General features: G+C 39.7%; 1 long non-coding RNA gene across 2 annotated transcripts; it reads right to left on the bottom strand.

Moving 5' to 3' along the window:
* Positions 1 to 287: 287 nt before the first annotated feature.
* On the bottom strand, positions 288 to 23,413 carry LOC124905259 (uncharacterized). 2 transcript variants are annotated; one of them, XR_007068412.1, is made up of 3 exons: positions 20,649 to 23,413; positions 14,007 to 14,187; positions 288 to 637 (listed from the first exon to the last, which is right to left on the bottom strand). It is a non-coding gene; the product is annotated as an uncharacterized LOC124905259 (long non-coding RNA). The 2 variants fall into 2 exon arrangements; XR_007068411.1 differs by lacking the exon at positions 20,649 to 23,413 and having other exon boundaries at positions 14,007 to 15,141.
* Positions 23,414 to 23,750: the final 337 nt, after the last annotated feature.

The raw sequence follows: 23,750 nt of genomic DNA, 5'->3' as shown, positions 1-23,750 counted from the left end.
AATTGCCCAGAGATGTGGAATTACAAACATCACACAAAAGGTAGCTGAAGCCATTTCATCAGCTACCCAATCACCATTAATGGCACCACCATCTGCCCTGTCCCTCGGCAATGCTTCACATTACCAAGCCTGTCAAATCTTGACTCCTGAGTTTACTATTAAGGCTAACAACAAGTGTTTCCTCTTCACCCCCACCTTCCCAACTGACCTTTGTCACTCCATAACACATGTATTAGTTAGGGTACAGGCAATGTTGCTGTAGCAAAGGAATCCTAAAGTACAATAGCTTATATAAGATAGAAGTTTATTTCTTTTTTATATTAATATAACAGTCCAGGGTCTACAAGGCAGCTCTGTCCCATGATGACATATAGGAACCTAGGCTGGTGGGCAGCTCTGCCATACTCAGGATCCGTCTTGGGGCCCAAGGCATTGTTCCATTCATTGCCACTTCCCAACTGATGGACAGAATATTCAGGGCAACCAGCTTCATCTTTATGGAGATAAATATACATCACATCTACACACATCCCATTGGCCCAGACTCAGTCACGTGACCACATCTATCCTCATGGAAGACTGGAAAATGTAGTATCTTGCCGGGCAGCCATGTGATGAGCTCACATGCAGGGGGCCTCTGTTACCAAAAAGTAGAAAGGCAAAATGGACACAGGGAACAATTAGCAAACTCTGACACTTCCAAACCTCTGGCATCTAAATATCCATACACACAGAATACACTCATCCCTCAAAGTACGATCCATTTCCTGAGTACAAAACAAAGTCTGACACCTCTGTGTAACGTGCAGTCTTTTCTATCAGGTCTAGATCTACTGTCTCATGATCCAGAAATCTATATAATAATAGAACATTACTCCCCCAACACTACTCAACATTTGGCACATCATATAGAGCAAGAACAGGATAGACACAGAGAAAACTCCCATTTGGGAAAATGTAGAATGGAAAGCACTCGTCAGTCACTGGTGCATAGAAATGACGAAATCGTGTTTGGCAAGATGCGCAAAGACTCCCTAGTAGTGAAGGAAGTTCTCCTGTCAGACCTTGGTCCTGCCCTCTGGGAGGAATTCCCTTGTACATGATCCTCCCTGGACTTTGGCCTTGTCTACTATTTCACATGGTCGTACCTGTAGCGGCTGTGTAGAGTACACATATGTGTTTTGACTTTTTTTTGTTTATTGGTTCCACCAGTTACTAAGAAAGTTGTATTAATGTCACTCACAATGACTGGGGGTTTTCTTTCTTCTCCTTGATGTACTTTTAATTTTGATTTTATCAATTTTTATTTTTATAAATTTTTATTTTTTATTTATTTTTATTTATTTATTTAGAGAGAGGGTCTCACTCTGTCACCCAGGCTGGAGTGCAGTGCACCATTATAGCTCACTGCAGCCTCAAGCTGCCAGGCTCAAGTGAACCTCCCACCTCAGCCTTCCGAGTAGCTGAGTGAGACTAAAGGCACATGCCACTACATGAGGCTATTTAAAAATTTTTTTTGTAGAAACAAGGTTTTGCTATATTGCCCAAGCTGGTCTCAAATTCCTGTACTCAATTGATTCTCCTTTCTCCATCACCCAAAGTGCTAGGATTACAGGTATGAGCCTCAATTTTGTTTTTCTTTCTTTCTTTTTTTTTTTTTTTTGAGATGTAGTCTCACTCTGTTGCCCAGGCTGGAGTGCAGTGGCATGATCTTGGCTCACTGCAACCTCCGCCTCCTGCATTCAAGTGATCCTCCTGCTTGAGCCTCCCTAGTAGCTGGGGCTACAGGCATGCACCACCACATCCATCTAATTTTTGTGTTTTTAGTACAGACGGGGTTTCACCATGTTGGCCAGGCTGGTCTCGAACTCCTGACCTCAGGTGATCCACCCACCTTAGCCTCCCAAAGTGCTGGGATTACAGGTGTGAGCCACCATGCCCAGCCTCAATTTTTATTTTATATATTTTCAGGCCAGGTTATTAGTTATGCACAAATTTAAAATTGTTCTGTCTTCCTAGTGAATTTAACTTTTCTTAAGAAGTGACTTGCTTTATTTCTAATAATGCTTTTTGCTTGAAGTCTATTTTGTGTGATATTAATATAGCTATATCAACTTGCTTTCAGTTACCAATTGTGGAGTAAATTATTGTCATTTATTTACTTTCTACCTTTCTTTATTTTTACGTTTAAATGTGTCTCTTTAAACAACACATAGTAGTACTGCTTGTTTGTCTATTTTCTATTTTATAATCTGTTTTCTCACTGGAAAATGTAGTCCATTTACATTCAATGTAATTGTGATATATTTGTGTTAAAATCTTATTATTATGTACTTTTTCTTTTCTTGTCTGTTTTGTTTTGTGTTTCTTTTTCTTTCTGTCCTCACCCTCTTTTGGACTGATGACTTTTACATTCAATTTTTAAAAATCTCTTTCAGTTTATACATCATATACTCTTCTTTTATTCTTTTGGTGGTTAGCCTAGAATTACAGCATGCATGTTTCACTTATAAATATCCTTTTTTTTTTTTTTTGAGATGGAGTCTCATTCTTGTCGCCCAGGCTGGAGTACAGTGGCGCAATCTCAGCTCACTGCAACCTCCGCCTCCTGGGTTCAAGCGATTCTCCTGCCTCAGTCTCCTGAGTAGCTGAAATTACAGACGCCTGCTACCACGCCCAGCTAATTTTTATACTTTTAGTAGAGACGGTGTTTCGCCATGTTGGCCAGGCTGGTCTCGAACTCCTGACCTCAGGTGATCTGCCTGTGTCGGCCTCCCAAAGTGCTGGGATTACAGGCGTGAGCCACCGCGACTGGCCTAAATATCTCATTTTTTTGAAGCAAGGTCTCTTGCTGTCACCCAGGCTGCAGTGCAGTGGTACAATCATAGCTCACTGCAGCTTTGACCTCCTGGGCTCAAGCAATTCTCCTGCCTCAGCCTCCTGAGTAGCTGGGACTACAGGCGTGCACCACCATGCTCAGCTAACTTTTTTTATTTTTTGTAGAGACAGAGTCCCATTATGTTGCCTACGCTGGTCTCAAACTTCTGGGTTTAAGCAATTCTCCTGCCTTGGCCTCCCAAAGTGCTGGGATTATAAGCATGAGCCACCACACCCAGCCAAATATCTAACTTTAATTGATACCTTTCCTCTCCTTTTGGATAATGTTAGGAATTTAGAACATTTTTATCTCCATTTATTTTCCTCTCAAGACTTTATACTATGATTATCATGCATTTAAAATATCTATCTATCTATCTATCTATCTATCTATCTATCTATCTATGTATTCCCACAGGGGACTATACTAATTGTTTCACATAGTTAATACTCATTTAGATTTACTCATATCTGGAGTCATTCTAAATCCATTTTGTTGTTCATTTTTCCTAGAGGTTCTTGCTCAAGGTTTTCTGTCCCAATTAGGCTTGGTTATCTTTGATTGTGTGCTGGGCACTATATAAGAAAAATTATTTGTCAGAATAATTTGAGGCCCAAGTTGATCACCCTAGTCCAAGTTCAAGATGTGAGATTCTCTGAGCAAGCCACTTCCAGTTCACCCTTCCTCCTAACATGTGTGTGCATGTGTATGGGACGAGGACTGGTTTACCATGTGTCAACCCTTGGCAGGTCCCGATGTCTGATTTTTGCCTTCCTATTCCCATGAGCTTGCTAAGAAGACAGCTCACCCTCTCAGTTGTCTCTTCAGGATCTGCTAGTAATGGGAAGGCAAAAGTGGTTCAGAATGTCAGGCTCACTTCTGTGGATTTCCATTCTTTTCTGAATCGCATCCCAGTAATTTATCACTATTTTGTTAGCTTTTTGATGCTTTTAAGAAGAGGTTTAACATATTATGTTCAGCAAGAAAGTTGGTCTGAATACCTAGTATGTCATTACAGAAATTGGAAGTGTTTTTTTTTTTTCACTCCTAGGCTAATGTTTCTAAAGATGGGGCCCACGGACCATTTCCACCAAAATCATGTTATGCTTGTTAAAAATTGAGATTCCATGGTTGCCATCTCAGACTTCAGAACCCATGGCACTAAGACCCAGGAATCTGCCTTTTGATAGGTTCTCAGACTATTCTTATGAAGACTTAAGTTTGAGAAGTTTTGTCCCAAAGCTTAACCCTGCACTGTTAGTAATAGGCATTTGGGCAGTATTACTTGATTTAATTCTTATTTACAGGTCAGGGAGGGCAGAAGAAAGCTGAAAACATGCCACAGTTGGAATTTGGTCAATATTTAAATCTCCTATCTCCCCACCATTTGAAAAAACCCTCCTTAAGACAAGATGATCCCACAGAAGAACTCTCAAGATCCAAGCTCCTATCTAGAGCCAGTCTAGTCCTGTCACATTCACCTGTCTCAGAAGTAACATTCATTTTGACTGGACATGGCAGGTACTTCAATATGCCTTTCAGTCACTTATGAAAGGTTTGAGAAATAAGTTAAGTTACTTAAAGATATCTTGACCCCCAAATCCAACAGCGAATCCAATTACGAACTAGCCTAAAAAAATAGTCTGTGAAACCATATCTTTTATGAAATAATGGCAATTATAAATAGTAAGTATTTTTTACAATATTATTATTTGCCAAAATAAGAAGTTGTTAATACCATGCTGGTCTTCAACATTATTTTTAAATGTTACTGATCCAAGAAATCTGTAGATCTCAGAATGACTGACTTACCAGCTCCTCAAGACACTCCAGATTCTGATATTCCAGAAAGCTCTCAGCCTGCCTGCCAAAGTCTCTGTGAATAGCATGCAAATCTGCATTCCACACTGCCAGGAACATGATTAATTATCTATTTAGATTAGCCAACAGAATCTATGTTCCTGTGTTTCTGTGACATGGTTACTTAAATTTCTTAGCTGTGGTCATGCTTTTGAGTTACAATGCTTTCTCAAATGTGTGTCTCTGCTTTCTTGCAGGAAAAAAAAAAAAAACACACACAGCCAAGCAGTCAGCGAACAACAACTTAGATTTCTCATTTCTGCACCAACATGCAGTGTCTTAGATTTTATTCAGCTTTTAAAGGAAAAGCTTTGTGTGGGTTCTGGTGTTTTCCACAGCTGAATAACCTTAATATGGAAATGCGCTCATGTTACACATCATAGCCTTCAATAGAAAGTTTCAGAGAATTTGAGCCTTTTAATCAGATGATCTTGCTCTCTACTCAGAAAACAAAATTCCATGGGGAACCTGCTATTCAGAGTAGGCTTTGTCCTATTATAATATTTGTTTTCTTTTTTTTGTCTGTTTTGTTTTTTAAAATTTTAAAATTTAAAATTTTAATTTTTACGCGTACATAATAGGTGTGTATATTTATGGAGTATATGAGATGTTTTGATTTCTCTCTAAGAAGATACTTTTCAGAAACCATCTGAGCAGCAAGCTGTATTACAAATGAGCTGTTATGAGATTTTTAAAAATAGGTTTCTTTTGGAAACTACTATCATTTGGAGAATGGTTTCTATCTCAACTGGACTGAATATGCCTTATCGATGCAATAATGTTTGTCATTTCAGTAACTTAATAGGCTAGCATACATTAATGGGCTATGGTAACCTATGTAACCTGTGACAACTGAAAAATAATTATCACATGCCCTTACAGTTTCATTTAACCATATTAATCTGCTTTGGTAATGGAATCATTCAGGCCTAGTTAAGTCTATCTAGATTTTGAAAAGGAAAAGGTAATTTTAAAAGGAAAGCGTAATTTAAACATCTTTAAAATATGTAGGTTTACAACAAAATCACATATTTAGGCTTTTAAAGATACCCATTCACTTGTGTCTCTGAAGCAGAAACCTGTGCTTGCTTTAAATCCCCATCTTTTATTCCTATAGGCTCTTTAATCCATTCATAACTCTTTCTTCCATCAGCTCTCAGCAGATCGGTTTTGTGTGTGTTAAGGTGGGTGGGATGTAGGCAATGTTTGAGTATGTTAAGAAAAATTACCTAACACCTGGAAACAAGGAGACAGAATGACTGCTTGTCCTTTCAATTTCCAGACTGAAGCTTTATTAAAAGGCCTCCATTTAAAGCGCCCACCCAAGGATTATTCAGTTCTCTGTGAGAATGCACTGTTGCTTGATTAAAGCCCAGGCATGTTAACTTGGAGGTTTTTGTCCAGTAGAGATGCAAATGATTTCTTTGCAGTAGAAGGGGTGACCTCAAAGGTTATGGTTTTATTGCCCTGTTTTGCCTCTAACTTAGTAAGCTTATTTCGGCATGCTTTTTCTTTTTAAACATATCTTTTGAATTCTCCTTTGTACCAGATTTACCATCCTGCTGGCTCCCTCATTAATGCATAAAACCAGTGAGGTGTTCATTCTGTATTTTCATTAGGGTCATATTTTTGAAAATTTTACTTTGTCTCTGTGAGGAAAAGAGATACATCTCACAAGACAGCCAAGAAAATAGATACCTCATTACTTTAGTTCTTCCAATCTCGCCTCTGAGGAACACCTTTTATAATAATTAAACCAATGCATTTTGATTTTCCCCTTTAAATCCCACTTCCTGCTAGCCTTTTGATAGAGTCATCAAGGTTATTGTCCCAGGAAAGAAAGGACGAACAGGTGCTGTCTAGAACAGAGCCCATTCATCAGCTTTGAATTTCAAAGCTGATTTTCTTGGCCTCTTTTGAGTAAAACAATATATATAAAACCCAGGCTTTTTGGAGAAAGGGATTTCTAAATAACAAAGCTTCCTTTTCAATACACAGGCCTGTGTGCAGGATAGAAGGGAGGCATGGTCAGGCTGTAAAGAGTAGAGAGAAAAACCCTCCCCCCTCCCTAACCCCTTCCCACTTCCCAGTCTGGGGGCAGGTCACAAGACACAGTTGTTCTGATCGCTTCCTTCTAGGTTGAAGTCCTAGGGCAGGAAGTATGTTAGCTAGGTTGCTGAGAAGGCAGAGGACTGCAAATGGGGAGGTCTGGATCTTGCTTTTCTTTGGGAGGATTAACATCTGCCCTTTGCCACTAAGAGGTCTCCAAAGCTACACCCCTCCCTCACACACCTGATGCCATCTTGGAAAGGAGCAGAGGAAGGGGTGGAACTCTTACTGGTTGAGCACTTAACTGAGTCATCCAAGTAGGGACTATTTACCCACAAAGACATTTTAAGTTAGGGATTGAATTGAGGTTAATAAATTGAATTCAATCTTGTTTCCCCTCCCTACTTCTACCTAGAGGGTGGGGGCTTGTGAGGTAAATCAGAGCAGTCAGAGAGAAAGAAGAAAGCTACAATTTTCACTTGATCTTAGCCAAAAGGCCAAGAAGGGATGAAAGCTACAATTTTCTTTGCCCAGCTGAGTATATCCCGAGTAAATGTGAAATGCTGTCACCTATGTATATATTGCGTATGTATTGCATGCTCCTTTATCCTCTTTTTGCCACACAATCAACAAATGCATTGTTAGTTTTTGATTTCACAAAAAGCATGTCCTGTTTTGCTTGTGGCAACTGGTCTCCATCTGACACATTGGTATGCTTTCTACAATGCTTGCATCTAACAAGATAAAGTTGGCCACAGACTACAGTAGCAGGTGCCAGGAATATGACCACTGTGATTATAAATTTGTTGATGTCTCCTTATAGTTCTTTCAATATTTGCTTACAATGTTCTGAGCTGGTGAATTAGGTGCCGTTCACCAAACATAATCTGTCTTACCCATGTCCTGGCCTCCTATGAATTGGATAGGGCCATGTGACTAATTGTGGCCACTGTGTAATAAGAGTAACTTTCAGGCTGGGGCAACTTGTTGCTGATGTGTGACTTTCCAGAGCTCTTTTTTCCTCTAGTGTGGCAACTGGCACAGTTTGACATGGTAGCTGATCCACAGACTAAGGTTCTGAGTCACTATGGCGGTCAGAGCTGCCAGACAACCTGTGATGGACATGTAGCATGAGTGGGAAATACATCTTTGTTGTTTGGGCTTGTTTGTTACAACAGCATAACCTACCCTATCCCATCTGAGACAGGTATTTTAAAGAAGGAAAGTGACTGACCCAAGATATTTCTCCTAAAGAAGACACCGGATAGTGCTTTCTTCTAATGGTTCACCTCTTCTCAAGTGAAATAAGTAAAGACCATTAGGAAAATACAGGAAACAAAATGTAATAAGAAGAGATCCATAGTTCTATTCTGTAGGCTTTGATAACATTTGATGTATTTCTTTTTTTATGCAGATAGTTCATGCTTACTACAGAAATTTCGAAAAATACATACAAGCAAAATGAAAAAAAAAATCTCCTTATAATTCTACCACTCAAAGACAACCAGCTACTTTTGCAGAGAATATTCTTTTGGACTTATATACTGAACATACACATTCTTACCTCTTCCTACTCTTTTAAGGGATTTTTAATGTGTCTACCCTTTTAAGCCTGAATTTTCACTTAATATATTATGAACATGTTGTCTTGTTAATAAACGTGTTTCAACATCATTTTATTGGCTGCTCATCTTTCCACTGTATTGTTGTACCGTAATTGATTTTTACGCATCTCTTATTATTTGAGTTGTTGGACATTTGAGTTGTTTCCACTTTTTTACTAAAAAAAATTAAAATTGTTTCGACTTTTTTGCATGGTGATTAATTTCCCTGTAACAGGCTGGGCATGGTGGCTCACCCCTGTAATCCCAGAACTTGGAAAGACCAAGGAGGATCACTTGAGCCCAGGAGTTCGAGACCAGCCTGGGCAACATAGGGAGACCCCTATCTCTATTTAAAATAAAAAAAAAATTAGCCAGGCATGGTGGAACGTGCCTATGGTCCCAGCTACTCAGCAGACCAAGACAGGAGGATCACTTGAACAGAGGGGTTCAAGGCCAGCCTGGGCAACATATGGAGACCCCCTTTCTATTAAAAATACAAAAAATTAGCCGGGCGTGATGGTGCCTGCCTGTGGTCCCAGCTACTTGGGAGGCTGAGGCAGGAGGATTGCTTGAGACTGGGAGGTCGAGGCTGCAGTGAGCTGTGATCGTGCCACTGCACTCTAGCCTGGGTGACAGAGCGAGACCCTGTCTCAGAAAAAAAAAAAATCCCTGTAGCTAATCATTTCCCTAGGATTAAGGATCTTAGAAGTGGAATTTCTGGGTACACAGCTTTGATTACACCAATTTATAGGATTTTGCTTGATTTCTTATGCTATTATAATCATGTAGTGAGTATAGTTTCATATTGTTTTATTTTTTAATAAAAATATTTCCCCATGTTATCACACATATTCTATAAAAATAATTTTTACTATGTTCATGTAGACATAAAGCTGAGTTAAGTTAGTGAATTTAATGTATCCATTCCACTATTTTGGTTGTTGGACAGTTAGGTAGTTTACAGTTATTCACTGTGGTAAATCACAGGTTTAGGAACATCTCTTTGTAGAAAGCCTAGTATATATTTAGGATTATTACTTTAGAACTTTAGAATAAATTTCCAAAAAAAGAATTACTGCCTAAAAGGGCGTGGACTCTTTTTAACTTTTTTCTTTTTTTTAAGAGATGGGATCTTGCTCTGTCACCCAGGCTGGAGTGCAGTGGCACAATCATGGCTCACTGCAGCCTCAACCTCCTGGGCTCAAGCGATCCTCCTGCCTCAGGCTTCCAAGTTGCTGGGACTACAGGCATTGGGCATGAACATTTTTGAGGTTGATGAGTGTGGATAAATTGCTTTCCAAACCAGTTTTATCAATCTACATTGTAATGTGTCATGCCTTATTATGACAAATTAGAGGCTAGGTATTAGAACATTCTGATGGATTCCAGAACAATCCTCCATAGGAATCTTTAAAAGGAAAAAAAAAATTCCCTTCTCTGTGTTCCAGGTCAGCTTTTCAAAGATAGAAAAGACATTTAAAATACCAGGAAGAGTAATGTGAACTTAGTGTTCTTTATCATCTCTTTTATATCAGATCTTAGATTTGGATGGTGACTTTATTTCCAAGTGAAATGTTTTCACATTATCTCTACAAGCAAGGCAGGCATCTCAGGGAGATACTGAGGCACAGTGAAAGTTTCTCTAAGTGACTTTCCTATAGCCATATAATTTATACTGAACTCACATCTATGGTCCACGTCTTGGGGTAGACTCTTGGCAATGTTAGTGAAGTTCAGGTTCACTTCAAGACACACTAGATATAAAACAATTTTTTTTTTTTTGAGACGGAGTTTCACTCTTGTCACCCAGGCTGGAGTGCAATGGCGCGATCTCGGTTCACTGCAACCTCTGCCTCCTGGGTTCAAGCGATTCTCTTGCCTTAGCCTCCCGAGTAGCTGGAATAACAGGCGCCTGCCACCGTGTCCAGCTAATTTTTGTATTTTTCGTAGAGACAGGGTTTCACCATGTTGGGCAGGCTGGTCTCAAACTCCTGACCTCAGGTGATCCGCCTGCCTTGGCCTCCCAAAGTGCTGAGATTACGGGCATGAGCCACTGCACCCAGCCATAAGACATTTTTTTTTAAGAAAAGGAACAGCAGAAAGGAAGGCTCATGTAAGTCCTGTCTTTGAATGAAAGAAAATATAACATCAAAAGAAGGAATTCCTCATAGAAAACAAATGATACCTACAAACTAGACTTCAAACTAATGTTTTGCAGTTTATAAGAATCAAGGCTTCTCCTGACTTCAATTGTTGAGATGACTGTAAAATGATAGTAATCTATTCTTTCCTCTGTAGGAATTCTAATGAACAAAGAACCAGTTTGTGTTGTATTTTAGACATCAAGGTGCTTGGTGTAGAACAGGGTTTCTTAACCCTGGCACTATTGACATTTTGGGCTGGAGCATTCTTTGCTGTGGGGGTTGTCCTGTGCACTGTGGGATGTGTAGCAGCATCCTTGTCCTCTACCAAGGATGCCAGTGGCACTGCGCCTCCATGTTGTGACAACCAAAAATGTCTCTGGACACTGCCAGGTGTCCTCTGGGATGGTATATTTAATTCTATTGTATAAGCCCTGACTATGTTCAGATGAAAGATAGTTAGAAAGGATGGTGAGCTTGGACACTGATGTCCTTTAATAGATATTTTCATATTAATTTCATTTCTTTTTTTTTAGCTTGATCTGATACATTTTGAGAAAAATGGATGTCTTATCTCAGCAACTAAATGAAAAAATAAAATGGACATCAATTGATTAAGTATTCTAAATCTGTAAATTGAATGTGTGAACTCCATGTAAATTACAGTAATCTAAAATTTTAATGAAGATAGTTGTCTAGAAAACTAGCAAGTAGAAAAATGAATTCACTCATGTAATACCTGTGAATAACAAAATTTTATCAGCAAGTGGCTTTTTCAATTTATCAAGTAAAATATAAGGTCAGATGTCTGGGTTTTCTAAGACATTCACATGGCATTTCAAATAGGAGAAATCAAAAGTCCCATCACAATCAGAATAAAGGACACATTTGAATTGAAATCCTTAAGAAAAACTTTGACTAATTAAGATTAGAAGTCTTGTCTTTGCTCTTAAAATTTAAAGTAAATGTTTCTAGATTGTATTCTAATAATCGTGCCAATACATTTAGCCAAAAAGATTTTTTACAATATATATTTTCATATACATTGCAGGATGTTTTTCCTAGTACATTATGAACTAATCTTTCCGACCCTGTGACACCTGACATTTGCCAGGGCAACCCGCGGGTGTTTAAACTGGCAAACTCCCTTTATCTCATCATTACAAGGATTTTCTCATATGCTTATGTTTAGGAACATGGCCTTCCAATGTCTGACAGAAAGTTAGTCAATATTTGGTGTAAAATAGGTTCCACTTGGACTGTATTTAAAATCGCATTGAATATGTTAAGGTGCTTTCAGCTGTGAATAACAATATCCAGCTAAAAGTGGTAAAAACAATATCCAGCCACGCACAATGGCTCCACATGCCTAAAATCCCAGGAGTTTGGGATGCTGAGGCAGGAGGATCACTTGAGCCCAGGAGTTCGAGACCAGCCTGGGCAACATAGCAAGAGCCTGTCTCTCTCTAAAAAAAAAATTAGCTAGGCATGGTGGCACATGCCTGTGGTTCCAGCTACTCAGGAGGCTGACATGGGAGGATCACTTTGAGCCCAGGAGTTTGAAGCTGCAGTGAGCCGTGATCATGCCATTGCACTGTAGCCTGGGCAACAGGGTGAGACCCTGTTTCAAAAAAAGGTGGCATATCCAACAGGATTGTATCATTTTACATAATAAGGTGTTTAGAACGTGTGATGGTTAATACTGAGTGTCAACTTGATTGGATTGAAGGATGCAAAGCATTGATCCTGAGTGTGTCTGTGAGGGTGTTGCCAAAGGAGATTAACATTTGAGTCAGTGGACTGGGAAAGGCAGACCCACCCTTAATCTGGGTGGGCACCATCTAATCAGCTGCCAGCATGGGTAGAATATAAAGCAGGCAGAAAAATGTGAAAAGACTAGACTTGCCTAGCCTCCCAGCCTACATCCTTCTCCCGTGTTGGATGCTTCCTGCCCTCAAACATCGGACTCCCAGTTCTTCAGTTTTGGGACTCGGACTGGCTCTCCTTTCTCCTCAGATTGCAGACCGCCTGTTGTGGGACCTCTTGATTGTGTGAGTTAATACTTAATTAACTCCCCTTTATGTATATATATATAAATCTTATTAGTTCTCTCCCTCTAGAGAACCCTGACTAATACAGAAGGTGATGGTCCCAAGCTAAACAGTGTCATCATCAGTGATCCAGGTTCTTTCCATCCCTGTTTGTTGCCATCCTCAGCACGTTCGCTTTGTCTACTGCTTAATGGCTGCAATATAGCTTCCATAGCTCCCATGAAATGAAATGCCTATGAAATGTCAGGAAGGAAGAGGTGGGGAAAAAAAGCTCTCCTTGAATATCTGTTGTTTTCATTACCATGAAAAATCTTTCTAAAAGCCTTTTGGGAGGGTGTGGCTGAAAGGTTAATTTGACCAGATGGGTCATGTGGCCAGCCCTACCTGCAAAAGAGGCTGAAAGAGAGTGTCTGGCATTTTTAGCCCTTCTTATGGGAAGCAGGCCCTGCCAGAAGGGAAAGAGAGAGAGAAATGACTTTTGGTTAGGCAATCAAAAGTGTGTGCAAAATCATATTTTTGGAGAATGTTCCTCAGTCTAAAAAACAGTAATGTTACAAAAGTTCTACAAGCATTCTAAATAGCTACCTCTTCTCTATATTTTCTGTTTTTTTTTTTTTTTTTGACAGTTTTTTGAGACGGGGTCCTCCTCTCTCACTCAGGCTGGAGCATGTTGGTATGATCCTAGCTCACTGCAGTATCGAACTCCAGGGCTCAGGCAATCCTGCCTCAGCCTCCCGAGTAGCTGGGACTACAGATGCATGCCACCATGCTTGGCTAATTAAAAAAATTTTGTAGAGGCAGAGTCTTGCTATGTTGCCCAGACTGGTCTTGATCTCTTGGCCTCAAGCTATCCTCCCAAAGTGCTGAGAGTGTGGGACACTGTGCCCAGCCCATATTTCCTGTTTTGATTTGAAAATTAAAAATGAAACTTAAGAAACACAATCAAGTATGGGAAATATTATATACTATGTAAAACAATTGTAAGTATGTTAAGGCTTAAGTAAGTTGCTAGGATAAAAGCCAACTTGATTTCCCCCTTAGTAAGGGAGATTCTTTGAGATCCTGTGTGTAGTCTTATCTCCACAGACCTTACATATTCAAAAAGATGTGCTAATGGTGTTTATGTGCTAATGTGCTAATGGGAAATAATTTAGTATGTTACAGGCTGCCTAGAGTTATTTCTTGTTTTTTTTTTTTTGTTGTTGTTGTTTGTTTGTTTTTTTCCTTTTTGTAGAGAATGGGGTCTTGCTACATTGCCCAGGCAAGTCTCGAACTCCTGGGCTCAAGCTATCCTCCTGCCTCTGCCTCCCTAAGAGCTGGGATTATAGGCATGAGCCACTGCACCCAGCCTGCCTCCGGTTATTTTATTTGGAATCTGTCTCATACCAGTACTCTCCAAAATGTGCTAGACGTCCTTACTCACAGTTAGTTAGGTTGAATCCCTCAAGGTCCATCTCTTATGGGTGCCCTTGCTTGCAGTAGACTTAGGCTGGTTGAAGCATAGCCGTTTTTCTTGGAAATGGGTGGCTTCTGCATTTTGTACACACTCTTTGAACATTCTGCTTCAAGAATGGGACTGGTGTCATGTGGTCCAGCAGCAACTCCTGCAAGACAAAGAGATGCAGGCCTTTGAGTCTCCTGGGGTGGTCCCTGATGTGGCCATATTCCCCTCTGGGCTCTGAGGCCAGATTTGCCCTTGAAGCTCTATTGCTTCATAGAGGTGGAGGCATGGGTGTGCTAGGGAGAAGGGACCTGAAAGCTTCACCTCGAAAGTCACCAGCGGGCAGCACAGCTAAAACCTGGATCCCACATATTTCTTGTTCCATTTCTCCTGTTTTTATCCTTTAATGTTTACAGGGATTAGACAACAATCAAACCGCAAGACAAGGCAAATGCATTTCCAATGCACTCAGATGACACCAAAGATTGATGATTTCTCTCCTGCAAAGTTCAGTCTTGACAGATCTCATTTCTTTTTCTCAGGGAAAAAAAAAAAAAAAAAAAAGCCACGACCAAACTCTCTCTCACTTCATATGACTAAAAGATGAGATTTTTTCCTCTTTGAAGAATACTGCATATACGTTTTTACACTGGGCAGAGAGCTAATTCTACTTGACTAAAGTTCACCTGCCTGTCATACTTCCAACCTGGGGAATCTTCTTAATTCGTCTGGCTCCCGTTTCAATAGTAGGGAGAACAATTATGCTTGTCCAGCTCCTTGTCTCCAATAGCTGACAGCAGTGATGAAACTGTATACAAGTTTCATCAAGTATAGGAGAGGGATCGTTTTCTACTTTAGAGTGGCCTGTATCTACCCATTCAAGAGAGTTCATTGGGCACTGTTATGAACGAGGCACTATGAGCGTGGCAATACCAAGAGAAAGCATGGGATTTCAGCCCCCAAGGAGTTTATAAACCAGGAAAGAAAATAAGGACACACGAAGTTGTACATGAGTGCCATGAGCACAAGTGTTTATAAAACTTAAGACACATGCTACAGCATAAATGAACCTTGAGGACATCGTGCTAAGTGGAATCAGCCAATCACAAAAGGACAAATACTGTATGATTCCCTTTTTGTATAATTATTTTTTAGTTTTAAATTTTTATTTTATTTTATTTATTTATTTTTTGAGATGGAGTTTTGCTCTTGTTGCCCAGGCTGGAGTGCTGTAGCCTGATTTTGGCTCACTTCAACCTGCACTTCCTAGGTTCAAGCGATTCTCTTGCCTCATCCTCCCGAATAGCTGAGACTACAGACTCCCGCCACCACACCCGGATAATTTTTTTTTTGTATTTCTAATAGAGATGGGGTTTCAGCATGTTGGTCAAACATCTGACCTCAGGTGATCCACCCACCTCGGCCTCCCAAAATGCTGGGATTACAGGTGTGAGCCACCACGCCTGGCCTATTTTATTTTATTTTGAGGCAGGGTCTTGCTCTGTTGCCCAGACTGGAGTGCAGTGGCGCCATCACAGCTCACTGCAGCCTTGACCTCCTGGGCTCAAACGATGCTCCTGCCTTAGCCTCCCAAGTAGCTGGGACTACAGGTATGCACCACCACTTCCAGCTAATTTTTTAATTTTTTTGTAGACAACAGGTCTCACTATGTTGCCCAGCCTGGTCTCAAACTCCTGAGCTCAAGCAACCCTCCCGCCTTGGCCTCCCAGAGTGCTGCAATTACAGGTGTGAGCCACCACACCAGGCCTGATTCCACTTATATCTACAGCAGTCAAATTCATAGAGACAGAAAGTAGAATGGTGGTTACCAGGGGCTGGGGGGAAGGGAGGAGTGGGGAGTTGGTGTTGAAATGGTACAGAATTTCAGTTTTTGCAAGATGAAAAAGTTCTAGTGATGGATAGTGGTTGCATAACAACGTGAAAGTACTTAATGCCACTAAACAGTGCATTTTAAAATTGTTAACATAGTAAATTTTATGTTATGTATATTCTTACCACACTTAAAACACTTGAGTAGGAGAAATATCAAATTGTGGTATAACATAGAGGATACAACTTGGGGCTAAAAGAACCTGAGTTTTCATTCTGTTATTTCTATTGACCGACTGTGTGATTTTAGCCAAATCTTTTAACTTCATTAAATGTCCTTATCTATGATGTAGAGAAAATGATAACCTAACTTGTAAGGTTATTGGGATAATTCAATGAGGTAATGTATGAGAAAGCCATTTAGCTAAATGTATGGTACGATATAAAATAAATTTTTATCATGGATGTGATGAGGGAAGACTTAATAAAGGAAATAGGACTTGAACTGGTCTTAGAAGGGTAGGCAATAACATTTATTGAGGGCCTACTGTATCCTCATCTCAGTTCATGTAGCAAACGTTTGAAGATATTATCCTCATTTTACAGATAGACAAATTAAGACACAGAGATTTTGCACAAACCCAAAAGGCAGCCCTGTCTTTCAAATTCCTCATCCTTTCCACTCATAGGAAGTTGTGAGTAAAAAAGTGTTGAAAGTGGAAATAGAGTAAAAAAAAAAAGCAGAGGTGATGAATAAATGCAGAAGCTTATTCTTCTTTTAAAAATAATTTTATTTTGAAATAATTTCAAAAAAAAGTTTCAAGAACAGTACCAAAAACTCCCTCAAATCCTTCACCCAGATTCAACAATTGTTAATGTTTTGCTACATTTGCTCTATTAGCTCATTCTCTCAGAACCATTTGGAAGTAAGCTTCAAACATCATGCCCTTTTATTCTGTCAGAGAGGAAAAACTGTTCCTCTGCCCTCTTTGGTTCTTTTCTTGGAGCCCTGTAAATTAAACTGATAAAAGACAGATTCACAAGAGACAGCAACATTTAATTATGTTGGTTGGCATGGAAATTCACAAGGAAATGTGACTCAAGGAGGTGGTTAGAATTTGGGGCTTATACACTGTATTAGTCCATTTTCATGCTGCTAATAAAAACACACCTGAGACTGGATAATTTATAAAGGAAAGAGGTTTAATGGACAGACTGGGTAATTTATAAAGGAAAGAGGTTTAATGGACTCACAGTTCCATATGGCTGGGGAAGGCCTCACAATCATGGCAGAATGTGAAGGAAGAGCAAAGGCATGTCTTACATGGTGGCAGGCAAGACAGCATGTACAGGAGAAGATCCCTTTATAAAACCATCAGATCTCATGAGACTTATTCACTATCACGAGAATAGCATGAGAAAGACCCGCCCCCATGATTCAATTACCTCCCACTGAGTCCCTCCCATGACACATGGGAATTATGGGAGCTACAATTCAAGATGAGATTTCGGTGGGGACACAGCTAAACCATATCACATACCATCTTAATTGGGGATGGGGAGGGTCAGAGGACACTTCTGGGAGAACTAATAACTTCTTAGAAGGGGATTAGGGAAGGGCATTTATGGAAAAATAAAGATTTTTTTTGAAAGATAAATGAACCCTTAGGAGAATAGATGGGAGATATGAGTTTGGTGACAATGTCTGTTTGGGTGTGGTGCCAACTTGTCATCTCCATCTATGTTGCTCTCAGGGAGGGGATTTATGGCAATCGAGGGTTTTGTTTTGTTTTGTTTTTTGGTAGATTCTGCTTTTAGACAGATAAGAGATTTCAGGAACTTGGCTGGGCGCAGTAGTTCACACCGTAATCCTAGAACTTTGGGAGGCCAAGGCGGGTAGATCGCTTGAGGCCAGGAGTTCAAGACCAGCCTGGCTAACATGGTGAAACCCCAGCTCTAGTAAAAATACAGAAATTAGCTGGGCATGGTGGAGTGCACCTGTAATCCCAGCTACTCGGGAGGCTGAGGCAGGAGAATCACTTGAAACCGGGAGGTGGAGGTTGCAGTGAGCCGAGATCATGCCATTGCACTCCAGCCTGGGCCATAGAGCGAGACTCTGTCTCAAGAAAAAAAAAAAATACCATCCCCAATTAAGATGGTATATGATATGATTTAGCTGTGTCCCCATCCAAATCTTATTTCTCCTTCAGCCAAAAATAATTTTTAATGAAACAATGACTTATTCTAAATCCCTTCAACTCTTATACTTCAGCCTGTGTTGCCTGAGAAGTTAAGCACAGAACATTCTAAAAATCAGGACATTCAATGCTATTAGCCCAGAGCTGAGCACCCTGTGCCTATTACTCAAGTACCTCTTTGCTGGTAGTTTTAATTTAGAAATGGGTTTGGCTAAGCTTCTTGCAGCTATGCGAGGAATCTGTCTTACTCAGCAAAGATTTCTAAGGTGTCTATTCAAATATTTCTAAGGTGCAAAATAGTGTTCTAGACACCTATGACTCAAGTGATGTTTGATGGACAGCCACATGAGGTTCTCTATCAAAACCATGACAACTATGCTTGCATCCATTTTTCCTCCTCTTAGAAAGGGCATCCCTCTTAATGAAGGCTCTATCGTGCCCTGGCTCCCATCTCTTCCCTCAATTATTTTATCTCGGGTCCTTTCCATTAGCACCAAAAACATGCACACAATTCTCCTATTGCTAAAACAATGATAACAACTTTCTCCTACATCCTTCACTAGGTCCCACAGTTTTTCTCTCCTCCCCTTCCAAATGGAACTTCTCGATGGCATTTTCTGTATTTGCAGTCTCTACCCGCACACACCCCACCCACTCCACCATCCAGCATCCACTCCAACCTGGCTCAACTTCTCCTGCCACACTAGAGTTTCTCTCTCAAGATCATCTATGAACTCTTCTACTACAGGGGTCTCCAACCCCCAGGCCACGGACTGGTACGGGTCCATGGCCTGTTACAAACTGGGCTGCACAGCGGGAGGTGAGCGACGGGTGAGCCAGAGAAGCTTCATCTGTGTTTACAGCTGCTTCTCACTGCTTGCATTACCACCTGAAATCTGCCCGCTATCAGGTCAGTGGCAGCATTAGATTCTCATAGGAGTGAGAACACTATTGTGAACTGTGCATGCAAGGGGCCTAGGTTGTATGCTCCTTATGAGCATCTAATGCCTGATGATCTGTCACTGTCTCCCATCACCCCTAGACGGGGGACCATCTAGTTGCAGGAAAACAAGCTCAGGACTCCCACTGATTCTACATTATGGTGAGGTGTCTAATTATTTCATTATATATTACAATGCCATAATAATAGAAATAAAGTGCACAATAAATGTAATGTGCTTCAATCATCCTGAAACCATCCCCCACCTCTGGTCCATGGAAAAATTGTCTCCCACGAAACCAGTCCCTGGTGCCAAAAGGGTTGGGGACTGCTGTTCTACTAGAACCCATGGATATTTTTCAGTCCTCATCCGACATCATTTCTCTTTCAGCAACATCTCATATTATGGACATCCCCCTCTTCTTGACACATTCTCTTCCCTTTCTCTAATACCAAACTCTTACAGTTTTCCTTCTAATTTTCTGAAGCTCCTTTGTTTCCTATTCCTGTACTTTTTTTTTTAACTTAAATGCCGTTATTCCTGAGATCTTTATCCTAGGACACCTTCCCTTTTCATTTTTCCCTGTTTTTGCTGGACAATATGCACTTCCATGGGTTCAATTATGTATTTGGGGTGCATCAACTCACAGATGGCATCTCCAACTAATTTCTCCTAAGTTCCAGATCTGTACATACAACTACCTACTCGCCATCTCCACTTGGAAGTCTCTCAGGTATTCAAACTCGAGAGTTCCAAATTGAGGCTGGCCTAGTGGCTCACACCTGTAATTCCAGCACTTTGGGAGACCGAGGCGGGCAGATCACCTGAGGTCAGGAGTTCAAGACCAGCCTGGCCAACATGGTGAAACCTTATCTCTACTAAAAATACAAAAATTAGCTGGGCGTGGTGGTGCACGCCTGTAATCCCAGCTACTTGGGAGGCTGAGGCAGGAGAATCACTTGAACTCGGGAGGTGGAGATTGCAGTGAGCCAAGATCGAGCCACTGCACTCCAGCCTGGGCGACAGAATGAGACTCCATCTCAAAAAAAAAAAAAAAAAAAAAAAAAAGGAGTTCCAAATTGAACTGCTCCTTTTCTGGTATTCCCTAGCTCTGTCAATGGCATTTCCATCATTTCATTGCCTTCTTGACTCCTTGAACCTAATACACGCCTAACCATCAAATACAGTGGAGTCTACTTTTGGTTTGTTCTCTTCTTCCTTCTGATCTCTACTGCCACCACTGTATTCGCCATCACTGTCATCTCTTGTTGAAGATTACTGAAATAGTCTTTTTTTTTTTTTTTTTTTGAGACGGCGTTTCGCTCTTGTCACCCAGGCTGGAGTGAAATGGCATGATCTCGGCTCACTGCAACCTCCACCTCCCAGGTTCAAGCGATTCTCCTGCCTCAGCCTCCCGAGTAGCTGGGATTATAGGTGCCTGCTACCACACCCAGCTAATTTTCATATTTTTAGTAGAGACAGGGTTTCACCATGTTGGCTAGGCTACTCTCGAACTCCTGACCTCATGTGATCCACCCACCTCAGCCTCCCAAAGTGCTGGGATTACAGGCACGAGCCACCACGCCGAGCTGTGAAATAGTCTTCTAACTAATTTCTTTGCTACCAGACTTGCTATTCTCCCATTCATGCTTTACCTTTAGCTGAGATGATCCATCCAAAAGGCAAATCTTGCTTGAAATTTTCAATGGCTTCCTATTTGTGATGAGGCTAAAGTGCAGACTCTCCTTAACGTATAAAAACAAATGGGATTTTTTCTTACAAAATACAAAAGAGAAAAATTATATTATTTACTGCTGTATCCCCAGAGCCTAGAACAGTGCCTGGCACATAATAATTGTGTAATAAACATTTGTTAAATGAATGAAAGACTTTATGTATTGGTTCCAGTGATTAAAGAATAGGCATGAATATGAAAAACGGAACTTTTTAAAACCAATAGCCATCTCTTAGTGTATCATATGTGTAAGACTCATATTCTAAAGTTTGACAAGCTTAAAAACCAACTACAGTGAGCTCAGAAGAAAAACATTTCAAATAGGAAAAAAGCACAGCTAACCAACTTCTTTTAAACTCATCATTTATTATAAATAGAAAAAACAGTTTAAATCTTATAATAAAATACAAATTCATAGTATCTGCATTACCCCTAATTTTCATGATTTAAATTATGACAATAAAAATTAATGCATGTATTTGAACAAGTAATCAAGAAATGCAATGTTCCATGCTTAATCGTTATATAACGAAAACAGATGAAGATAAAATACTTACTTTAAAATCAGGATATCTGTTCTAAAGACAGATTGCCTTTTTAACCTTTAAAAATGAATAGTAAATGATTCAGAGATAGATAGAAGAGTTAAAGCTTGAAAATCTATGAAGCAAAAAATATTTTAATTAAGAAGGTGGTGAAAACCGTACCTTTAGATAATGATATATGTTAAGGGTAATCTCCAGATTGCTAGTCTATATTGTTTAGGAATGAGAAACACTATTTCCATTAAAAAAAAAGCCACCTAAAGGAAAAAAAAAGATTTAAGCACTCTATTCTAATGAAACACATGAGGTATATACTCATTTCATTGTATTACTGAATTGTAAAAGTAAATTAATAAATAGTTGCCTCTCATATGAAGACTAGCCGTCTCTTTTGGATGGCTGGCCAATCATTTGAGGAAAACAAAACATAAGATTATATCCCTACTTTGCACCAACATGAAAATATATCCCATGTGGGTTAAAGAGTTAAATATTTTAAAAAATTAGATCACAAAATTATTACAAGAAAATGTGAATATTTATAAAATCTCGGAGTGGGGGAAACTTCCAAAACATATCACCAAAGGCAGTAAACAAAACAAAGATTGACAAACAATAATATATTGAAAACAAAAATAAGCATTATACTTAAATGAAGTTTTAATATATTTACATGTAACAAATTGAATGCTATAGCTGAGCTTACGAGGAAAAGCAGTAAAAAGATAATCCCTCACATGAAAAATGGGCAAAGGTTGTGGATTAAAAAAAAGAAGAGAATGGCCAATAAACACATTTTAAAATATTCAACTTTTTTTAAAAATCAAAAAGTACAAATTAAAACAAGATGCCATCTTCGGATACCCAACTAACAGAAAAAAAATTAAATGTATACTATATATATAACTGTTCATGCTTTAAGAAAGTCATCTTTAGGATTTTCCTAAGAGTTTCTAGAATTGTCTAAAGAGTCATAGAATGCAAAAAGATTTAGTTGTAAGGATATTCCTAACAGTTTTATTTATAATGATGCAAAATTAGAAATAATAGGGGTTGATTAAATTACGGCATATTTAACACTGCAATATTATATGGCCACTGAAATAACATTAGAATATTAATAACATAAAAGTGTTTGTAATATATTGTCAAGTTTAAACACTGGCTTACCAGTTTATGCATAATACAACCCTGTTTGTTTTCAATAAATCACAATTTATTTTCATTAACCTGTTCTCTGTGATTAAAGTGTATTTCTGGCCGGGCGCGGTGGCTCACGCCTGTAATCCCAGCACTTTGGGAGGCCGAGGCGGGCAGATCACGAGGTCAGGAGATCAAGACCATCCTGGCTAACACGGTAAAACCCCATCTCTACTAAAAATACAAAAAAAAAAATTAGCCGGGCGCGGTGGCGGGCGCCTGTAGTCCCAGCTACTCGGGAGGCTGAGGCAGGAGAATGGCGTGAACCGGAGAGGCGGAGCTTGCAGTTAGCCGTGATCGCGCCACTGCACTTCGGCCTGGGCGAAAGAGCGAGACTCCGTCTCAAAAACAAAAACAAAAACAAAAAAAAAGTGTATTTATTTTCTGATAAGAAATTATTTTTCTATAAAGGCCTATCTCCTTCTGTTCTAACTTCTTTTCCCTAGGTATTTCCTCGACAGAAAAGGGGTACCCTAAACTGGAGAAGGGAATATGTTATAAATTGCACAGTGCTACCTCCCATTATAGATTTCTGGTAATACATAAAGGCTAGGAAAAAAGTAGAAGCCATTAAAAGATGGAAACAAAGAGGTTCAAAGGTAAGAAAAGACTGCTAGGAATAAAGTATGAAAGCCAAGGAACTGTAAGGTATGGTCAAATATGTTTGTAAATCCTTTGTAAAAATGTGATTCCTGAACAATGAAAAGGAATAAGAAGGTGACAACCACTGAAGGGAAATAACGGGCAAAGGATATGGATAAGGAATCTACTAAAGCACACACATTTTAACAAAGAAGTTTAAGCTGAGTGCGCCTATAATCCCAGCACTTTGGGACCTTGCAAGGCCAAGGCAGGAGGGAGGATCACTTGATCTCAGGAGTTTGAGACCAGCCTGAGCAACACAGCAAGGCCTCTGCCAAAAAAAAAAAAAAAAAAAAAATATATATATATATATACACATATATATGTGTGTATATATATGTACGTATATACATATATATATAACATTATATATATATATATATATATAAATATATATATAAAAATATAAATTAGCTGGGCATGGTGGTGCGTGCATGTGGTCCCAGCTACTCAGGAGGCTGAGGTGGGAGGATTGCTTGAGCCCAGGAGGTCAAGGCTGTAGTGAGCTGTGATCGTGCCAACTGCACTCCAGCCTGGGTGACAGAGCAAGACCCTGTCTCGAAAAAAATTAAAAACTTTAGCCTCTTTTCTAACAACAACAAAATGCAAATTAAAATGAACATGTAAAAAACAGA

This window comes from Homo sapiens, chromosome X (assembly GCF_000001405.40).
Source record: "Homo sapiens chromosome X, GRCh38.p14 Primary Assembly".
Lineage (NCBI taxonomy): Eukaryota > Metazoa > Chordata > Mammalia > Primates > Hominidae > Homo > Homo sapiens.
This window is presented reverse-complemented; position numbering and strand designations above follow the sequence as displayed.